The sequence below is a fragment of the Homo sapiens genome, chromosome 10 (genome assembly GCF_000001405.40).
Source record: "Homo sapiens chromosome 10, GRCh38.p14 Primary Assembly".
In the NCBI taxonomy this organism is placed as follows: Eukaryota; Metazoa; Chordata; class Mammalia; order Primates; family Hominidae; genus Homo; species Homo sapiens.
Genome location: NC_000010.11, coordinates 105493697 through 105503784, shown reverse-complemented (window position 1 = coordinate 105503784; position 10088 = coordinate 105493697). Strand labels below are relative to the sequence as shown.

The following is a 10088-nucleotide window of genomic DNA, read 5'->3' as shown; positions in this document are numbered from 1 at the left end:
CAACAGAGGATGATGAGTCCCTAATACCAAAGTAATTCCAGAGCTGAACAGAAGGTTCAGTATTCTGTCTGTTTGGGGGGTTTTATTTCTCTGTTATAATCCTGTTTTCCACAGCCTCTGGAAGAAACATGCCAAAAGCTTTTTAGGTAAAAGTCAAAGGCAAACTTTGTAATGGAGAGATTAGATTGATAACATCTGAAGGTGATGCTCACCCTTAACATTATAAAAAGGAGAAACACCCAGACATTGTTTCTACCAATATGATGAAATAGGTAGTATCCACACAACCTACGAAATAGTCTCAATGAAAAAATCGAAGTCTTTTTGTCTGACCAAGCCACTTGATTAAATTAATAATTTATAGAAAACGCAGAGGATAGACAAACTCATTAAGACCGCCACTGGAATGTAATCAGCCAAGTCTAGGATGTAGGAAATTCTGAAGGATTTTCTGAAAAAAAAAATCTGTAGAACTCAGGTTCTTCCACATATAATTTGCAAAAATAAAAAAGAAAGAAAAGGAAAGCGGGGAGGGGCCAAGACAGAGCAAAATAAACAATGAAAATTAGTATAAAAAGTCATTCACAGGATAATTGGTGAAATTTGAACAAAGTTTGGATAATAGTTGAAATCCATTCCAGTAAAGTTAGTAATAATAATGTTGTCAACATTAACAAATAGTGTTAATTAGATTAATAAGTTATTTTTTTAGTTATGATAATGTGTCATTAATAGGAGTCATGGTCTCAGAAATACAAATAAAATTACATATCTGTATGATAAATACAATTACACAATATGTCATCTAAGAGGGTCAAAATCAGATTGGTTATATGTTGCTAACTGTTGAAGCTAGATGATAGGCACACAGGGATTTACTATATTATTCCCTCTACTTTTGTGTGCTTTTGAAAATTTCTATACTAAAGAGTTAAGAAACAAGCACAATTTCTAAGAAAATGTTAGGGACCAATGGCCAAAACAGCAATAAATCAATGAATTCACCAACAGCTCATGAAATAATTTGTAGGTTCCAAGGGGAGTCAGGGTGGAACCCAGCAAGATGATTTTTTAATAAAAGAAAATGAAGTAATAAATTACCTTTGTGACCTGAAATAAAGATGGTAATGGCAGCAATGTGAAGAGTTTTGAGAATCAAAGGTAATCAGAGAAAGTGCCTTGAGTAACCAAAACTGCAAAACTGCAAGTACAGTCTTATAATTAACACTGAAAGTCAATTTGGAAGTTAACCATAAATTATTAAGAAGCTTTCTAAAATTCTTTTTTCAAAAGCAATTTATCTTCCATGCCTTATTAAAATTATCATCCATACCTTTTTTTCCTTTCTTTTTAGTGGTAACTTTGTGAGACAAGCCTCAAATTTTACCACTGTACCAAGAAATGAAAGCCAGAATGTGGAATTGGAGCTGGTAATGACGACGTCAGGACAGGTTCAAAGGAAGCCCATCACTTGAGTAAAAATTTATAGCCCTGCTTGTGCTGTGCTGTGCTGTGCTGTGAGTTTCAGTTCCGGGCCAGCAAAAGATTTATCAAAGGAAAGCAACAAGGTGTGTGGAAATAGAAGGTAAGAGTTTTAAAAGCCTTTGTGAACCAGAGTAAATCTTGACTCTTTGGGTTTCATCTCTGAAAGCTGGACTTCCAGGTATAATTATAGGTTAACATTTGACACATTAAGTAGGTGGAAAAAGTGAGACACTAAGAAAGTTTATCTCTAATAAAGCTTAGAAGGCTCCATTACTAGGTTAAGATATGCAAATACAACGGGAATGAGACAGGTGACATTATTACCATAGCAATCATGACCAGGCTCAGTGTCCAGGAGCAAAAATCAGTGATGGAGATGGGAACAAAGCTGGAACACATGCTCTTTCAAGAAGGTGTCCCCTGCAACTCAGTTCTAGCCAATGCTTACCATGCTCAAACAGAGGCCTTTTGTGCAGTTTTCCCAATTTTTAGGAGCAGTCAGAAATCTAGATGATTGTGTAAAATCTTCCAGTTTTGTAATGTCAGCAAGATGTTTAGATTTATACAATCTCCTTGTGGGCCAACTGTATGCCCAGCAAACAAAGCCTACCTGTAGGCCGTGCTCTGCCTGAGAATCACATTTGTAAAACTTGTTATAAGTCAAACCATTTTTTTTTGTCATTTTCCTTCTATAGTTTTTTATGTTTAACTTGGCTCAGGACAAACTGTAATATTTTCCCCTTATTAAATTTATTTTCTTAAACTCTGATATCACACTTTAATCTTTCACTGGTGCTCTCAATTTTAAAAAAAATGCTGTTTCTGAATCCTTCATTTGTGTGTGTGTGTGTCAAATATTTTCCAAAGGAATACAAAAAAATAAAAATGAACATATGAGAAGAAGTTGGTGGGGAGAAACTGTTGACCAATCTATAAAATGTTTGTATATGCTTCCTTTTCTTGGGCCAATTAGATTTTGGTGGTAATAAAACCCACATGAAACTTTTCATTTTTATATTTTTATGTGAACTTTCAAAGAGTAAATGATAAGATATTTCCCTTATCAGAGTTGAAGAGATTGTGGGCTGTGTATACCCAATACTCTAAACAAACAAACAAACAAACAAAAAACTAATTTGACTATACGATTGGTTAGCTAATAATACTGTATTCACATTAGATAGTAACAGAATATCTCTGATCTTAACCTTTGGCATACCTAGACATGTAAATTAAAGAAACATTTGGAAGTAAGTCTGGCATCACCTTGGTGATTCCTTATTGAGTCTTCAAGGCCATGATGATATAAAATGGGAAACTCACGGATGCATGGGAGAGACAGGATATTATAAAGAGTATATTGGGCTGGGAATTGGAAGTTAGGCTCCAGTCCCAGCTCTCTTTCCAACAAGCTGTAAAACTTCTCTGCATCTCAGTTCATTATTTATTTACTATTTATATATTGCCTATTTTCCAAAACAGATTGGAGGTGGCTTTCAATAAAAGCTACTAATGTATCAGAACTCTTTTACAAGGTAATAAGCCAAAATAAAAGAAAAAAGAAAGAAGGATAGTTATAGCAGCAAATCTAAACTTGGGAAATATACTGTAGCAGCATACAAAATGCTGCTGTGTCATGGCCAGAATCAAGCAAGAAACAACTTGTACCACGATCATCACCCATGGGTCTCAGTTTTTGTATTTACAAAATGGGTGAAAAATGAAAGTTGGATGAAATCATTTTTCAAGTTCAGGTGTTTCTGTTAAAAACCAATACGTACATTCCTGAAAATATTTCCTCTATTTCTATATAATGAAGCACTATCACAAGCCTTAAGGAAAAATTTGGGATCAAGCAGCTCACTCATAACCTGTGTAACTTTGTAATCAGAGAAGTATATGAATAAACAATAATGATGATGAAAATACTAGCATGGTTTAAAAGGAATGTTAAATGTTAAATTACAAATAAATGAAGGAATACTACAGTACATAGAAGATTTTACCTATAAAAATAAAGGGGCTAGGGGATGAATATTTATTGATAGAAGCCTGTGTAAGGAAAGGTTGAAACTTATGAGTTCAAGGACAAAGTGCACAGAGATGAGGCAAAACATATAATTAAAACTTTAAGACAGAGCATGAAGCCAAACTGAGGCAAGATGAAGTACATAGAGTGAAAAGTCATAGTGTACAGTATTACAATCCTCAGCTGACTGCTGTATTCCACTATGCTCATGTACTTTGAATTCAATTACTGTTACTTAATGGGGCCAACTATTAAAGTGCTGGGGAAAAAATGGACCAACATGACTTGTACATTGTTTGACATTACATCCCTATTTGCCAACCAGTATGAAATGTTTTACTTTAAGGAAACACATTGTAACAGAACAGACTGTATGATGCTCTTTGAATCCAAATAGAAATATACAGATAAATAGGAAGAAAAGCATCTGTGACTAGGACTTGATCAGTGTTTCTACCAAGATATCTAAGAGTTTCTATATTGGACTAGACACACTTGGAATGTTCAGGTATACATAGTATTGATTTGGCTATTACTGTGTAGAGAAAGACTAAAAGGCCCGTAAGGTGTAACAAACAAATGATACAGAAGAGTTATGGCCAGGAGGAGGCTATCATCTAAAATGATGACTGGTACAGAGAATGTGGGGTAATTTTGAAAACAAAACTAAACGTGAAAAAGGCATTAGAAGATGGAGATGAAAATCATAAATAAATTCCGAGTGGCCATAGCAAATCAAATAAAGAAAACTTGTTTGCCCAAAAGAGAGTTCATGGAAGATTCAAATATTGAACAGCTTTGAGGAAAGGAAAAGGAATTGTCCAGCCATTCCCACTTTCTGAATAAAATTCCTCTAAACAAGTGTTTCTCAACCAGGGGAAATTTTGCCTCCCCAGAGTGCATTCGGCAACATCTGGAGACATTTTTGGTTGTTGCAACTGGGGAGGTGCTACTGGCATATAATAGGTAGAAGCCAGGAGTGCTGTTAAACAACCCACAATGCACAGGTGAGGCCCCTAAAACAAATTATCTGGCCCAAAATGCCAGTAGTGCCATGGTTGAGAATCCAAAATAAAGACAAAACTGCATAGTAAGTTCATCTGTCCTAGCGGCAATTTTCTATGTACCACTCTCCTTCCCATGGCCTCAGTGGAAGTTGTAAATTTTTTTTTTTTTTTTTTTTTTTTTTTGAGACGGAGTCTCGCTCTGTCGCCCAGGCTAGAGTGCAGTGGCACAATCTCGGCTCACTGCAAGCTCCGCCTCCCGGGTTTCACACCATTCTCCTGCCTCAGCCTCCCGAGTAGCTGGGACTATAGGCACCCGCCACCACGCCCGGCTAATTTTTTGTATTTTTAGTAGAGATGGGGTTTCACTATGTTAGCCAGGATGGTCTCGATCTTCTGACCTCGCGATCCGCCTGCCTCGGCCTCCCAAAGTGCTGGGATTACAGGCGTGAGCCACCGCACCTGGCCTGTAAATTTTTTTTAATTCCTTAATGTGATGCCTCTAAGATCCATCTGTTCCCATCAATCTCATCTTTGATACCTTTAGCTTAAGTTTGGCTTAACTGTAATCCATACCTCATGTCTTTAAAAGTATTCCCATGTATTTCCTTCTCTTTTCTGTAATTTAGTTCTTTTGATCCCTTATGAATTAGTATTTTGACTTATGAGGCCATGACCCTTTCTCTTCTTTTAGTTGTACTCCTTCTCTGATGTCCTGAATTTTACTGCTCTCAAATGATATTCAAGATGTTTGTTCACTTAAGTGAACAAAAAAACTAAGTTGAACATTTTTAGTGTGCAACTAAGTTTCTGAATATTTGAAGTCCTTTTTGTATCTCTCAAGATACTACCTTTATGGCAAATGTAGTCTTAACTGTACTAAAATTATGAAAATAGTCCTTAGACTTGTGAATACCTTGACTCGAAGGAGATAAAGTGAACCAGATGAAAACAAAAAGACTGGAATCAAAAGCGTTGCTTCTAAAAAAGGAGAAGAAATATGTTCTTGTAATCACATGAGGAGGAAGATAATGGGACAAACAACTGGCTTCAGGATTTTTTTTTCTTTTCTGAGATTCACACCAAATTTCTGCATGCTTGAGATTTACTTTACCTAAAATTTTTAGGCCCAAAATCAGTAGAAACTCAATTGACTGTTTTGGGGGACCTTGTCTGTCGACAGTGTATTTGATTTAAATGGGACAATATTGTGGAAAAGTCTGCCCTTTACTAGCTGTTCCAAATGTCAATTCCATCTGAGCCTTCTTCTATAAGGGGACATTAATGTCTTTTTCTGACATTTTTCCTCATGATTGACATTCCCAGAAATTTCTCCCCAGCTATTAGCTTCATTAACATTATTATTGCATTTGGTTGGCATTCTTTCCTCTACCTAATTCTGTAAAGATCAGATAGTATTTGTTCTAGAGATAAACTTTTCTTTCTCATACACACACTCAGTACACAAGAAGCCCACAGAATCTTACATGGACACAGCCTATGTAGATCCAGGCAGAGGGAGAAATTTTCAGTGACAGCCTATACTTCTCACTGATATTCCAGAACAGGGAGAAAAAGGAAATGTTTTCATCTCTGTATAGTTAAGTGTTCCTTATTCTGATGACAATAGAAAGCTATTTCATAGACATTACATCTACCCTTTCTCTAGTCTAAATGGAAAGCAGAATTACACAGTTAACCAAAGATATATTGAGAAAGGTTTCTTAAAACACACTGAAAGAAAATTGTAGTAATTTATTAGCTGGTCTCTTAGAGTACATGTATATGTGTGTGACTGCATGCAAATCTGTATGCATGCAAAAGTGAATGCAATTCACTTCTTTGCTTTTCACAGTGGATCCTGTATTTTAGGATTTGTGAGCTGTCAGAATTTCAATAAGTGAAAATGTCACCCTATTTCTAATGATATATTTGGTTAAACCATGCTGATATGTAATAGAGAGTATTCAGGCCTTTATTGAGACCAGTCAGTGCATAAAATATCTTCTCTACTGGTAACCAATATTTATTGAATGCCTCCTGTGTGTGTCAAGGGTTCTACACATGTTATTTTATTTGATTCTCCTTTGTCTTAGAATTATGAACTCACCAAATCATTCCTTTAAAGAGAAAAATATTTTCCAGCCTCTTCAAGTTAGGCAGGACCATGGAACTAAGTATGGTCAATGAAATGTGGGTGGGAGTAACATATGCCATTTTCAGAGCTTGTCCTTGGTAACTTCCACATGCCCCTGCCTCCCACCCTTCTCATTGGCTGGCTGGATGCAGAGAGAATCCAGGAAAGGATTCTGAGACCCGTGGTAACTACTGGATGACTGGAGCCTGGATTCTATGGAGGAGAGCTACTCAGGAAAGCTGATGGTGATGATTGATATTAACTGATGAACTTTCATGAGCAGTAAAGTTCAGTAATGCTAAGAACTTAGATGTCATTGCTATTTTGTAGCAGTGAGTATTATTAAACTCGACTAATATAGCAACTGCTTAACTAGAAAAAGAGTGCTGCTAAAATGCAAAAATTAAATATGTGGTAGTTGCCTTATAGGTTGGATGATAAGCAGCAAGGAAATTGATATTGAAGTCTGATAAGATAGAACTCATATTATTCAGCGGTAAACATTTTGTATAACTATCACTTGTGATTGTGTTGAAGGCAAGCCACGTGCTTGCTGAGCCAGCAGCTCTAGTGGAAATAATTAGAAGAATCAACAGTTAGCGTGTATTGGATACTACTGGCTGCTTTGACAAGGTATTGCAATATTACAAGAAAGAGATGAACTCAGGAAAACCCTGGCTGGTTTGCAAACAGAAATGAAAGGAAACAAAGAGATAGAAAGCAAGGACTTTATTGCTAGGAAAGCCATCTGCTTCTAGACACAAACAATAAGATGGAATTTTGAAAGGTTTTGAGTGTCAATGGCCAAATAAAACTCAGATGAATAAAATGTCCAAAAACAGTTACCTAATAAAGAGTGTGGCTTCCCATTCAATGTCAGCCACCATTGTCTTGAGAGAGAGAAAGACATAGGGTTGAGGAAACAACAAATAAGGGATGCTTGAAAACTTAAGTTTCAGAAGGAAATACAAATGTGGGTATTGGCATATGAAAGTAATTGTAATCAAAAGACAGTGTCATGGGTTGGATTGTGTGCCCCCCAAATTCATGCCTTGAAGTCCTGGCCCCCAGTACCTTAGAATGTACCTTATTTGGAGATAAGGTATTATAGAGGTAATCAAGTTAAGCTGTCATTAGAGCGGGTCTCAATACAATGTGACTGATGTCCATACAGAAGAGGAAATTTGGACACAGACTGGTACAGAAGGAAGACCATGTGAAAACACAAGATGTCAAAGCAAGTGAGTGAATTATCTGTGCTTCTTTCTTCAGTTTTCTAAGTGGTAGTATCACTGTGGTTATCCTGACCCTGATCTGCCATTACATATGAGCTTTTGTGGCCGGTGGGGGATGGGGCGGTGGGGAAGGAAGTAGCTTGTCTCTTTAAGTCATAGGTAGAAGACCAAGAAGAGCCACTTCTAGTGAGGTGGAGAAAGTGTCTCATTACCCAGCAGTCCTGCTGGATGCAGTGCCTGGATGGAACTTTGGGATGTCTTCCTTGGGTGCTGCTAAATACATGCTGTGTATTGGTAGAGCATAATGGAGACGCTACTCTTTGCCCTCTACACTTTTTCATTTCTTTTTGGGCATATAGCCAAACTACCTTTGGAAGCTGCCTTATAGATGGTGAGACAATGTGAATCAGGTGTGGGCTAAGAAATATCAGGGGAAATGACATATGGTTTTTCCAATTATGAGCTCTAAACACCTCTCACAAAATCTCTCATACGGAATCACTGGCTCGACAGATGAAGAGAATCCTTGAAGAACTCCAAGGACTTACGGGAGCTCACAACTTATAGAATAGACAAAAGGAGCCCAGGTCGCAGAGTCACTGCTTTAAAGGGTAGCTGCCAAGAAGAACTGTCCAATATAGGACATTTATATTGGCCTTTATGAAAGCAAGAAATAATAAAGTTTTATTCGGTCAAGCCATGAAATTTTAGCGTTTGTTACTGAAGCAGCTAGCATTAATTCTGCTGACTCATATACTTCTCAATAATCCAGCACAGTAATAACAATAGCCTTTCAGAGAAGTATCTTAAAATTGCCTAAAGTTATACAATAAATTAGGCAGTATATAATGGGTTAATCAAGTCAAAAGAGTTTAGTTTTAACCCCAGAATGGAGAAACTTGGATATTATGTCACGGTGTAAACACATAAAGGGATCTTTACAAAGCCATGACAGAAATACACATTTGGTCTGTCAACACACACACACACACACACACACACAAACACACACACACACACACACATCTAAAGTTTGTATTCATTTTGTTTTTCTGAACCATGTGATGAATCACAGTGATTTAAGTGAGTTAAGAATAAGGGGAAATTACCAACGTCGGAAAAATATTAGTTGACCCTTATCCCTGCCAATTTATAGCGAGTATAATGGATTATGAGCATTAAAAAATGAAAAAATTCACCGTAATGTTAAATGGTAGTTGCTATAGAATATGTTTGAATAAAAAAATTACTAATGAGGCAGTCTAGGTCTCAAGGCAGCTATCCAAATGCCAAGTACAACTGAAATAGTGCTGCAGATCAGAGAGTTAGTAGCAACACAAACACCAGTGAACAGACTTGCCAGACCATAAAGAGAGCTGTGTGAGCTAAGTGTGTTACCTGGAGATGGAAGCATTAGGCTATCACAGTTCACAATATGCATTAATGTCCTAATGAGAAATGTAATCCCAAGCTACTTGCCTAGTTGTTATTTCCAAGGATGACTAATCATAGAGGGAATTAAGAAACGAAATACATTAGAATTAGTGTCATTATAGAAATCAAACTGTACTTGTTTAAGGGGAAAAATAACAACCATAAGATTTTTTTTAACCAAGAGTTTGCACAGATTTATTGGCTGCTTTTCTTTGAATATTGGAGTTATATTCAGCTTTACTGACAATGTATTATGATCAGAGAGAATTTTGGATTTTTCTCTTCTATTCAGACATGATTAGGTCCTGACTGTAGACATGAACAATAGGCAACTGGAAACAAATGGCCCTAATGTCACAAGAGAGATAAAACAGATCTAAAATGCTACTTCCCATAGGTGTTCATCAAAGCCTGATTTAGTCATTGCAGAAGGACTGTGGGTCTAGGCTTGGGTTTATGTTCGCTTTTACAAGATATTTCAGCCATTATCCTGATAACAGACAATCTTTGGGGATGTTATTAGATCCTTCCCTCCTTTTTTTCCTTCTGTTCTTTTTCCCTCCTTCTTCCCTCCTTCCCTTCCTTCTTCTTTCCCTCCATCCTCCTTTCTTAATAGATGTGGACAATGCTGTAGGTGATCTTTAAAGTACTTTAAATGTTCAGAGGCATTTCAAACACCTTTTGTTTCACAAAGATAAAACATTGTTTACATACTTCTAGGACAAGAATAAGCAATATATGACACACAGAAGGACTAGGGGGAA

General features: G+C 36.7%; 1 long non-coding RNA gene across 1 annotated transcript; it reads left to right on the top strand.

Moving 5' to 3' along the window:
- Positions 1–6865: 6865 nt before the first annotated feature.
- Positions 6866–7901, top strand: LOC105378467 (uncharacterized). Its single transcript, XR_946289.1, has 2 exons — positions 6866–6900; positions 7830–7901. It is a non-coding gene; the product is annotated as an uncharacterized LOC105378467 (long non-coding RNA).
- Positions 7902–10088: the final 2187 nt, after the last annotated feature.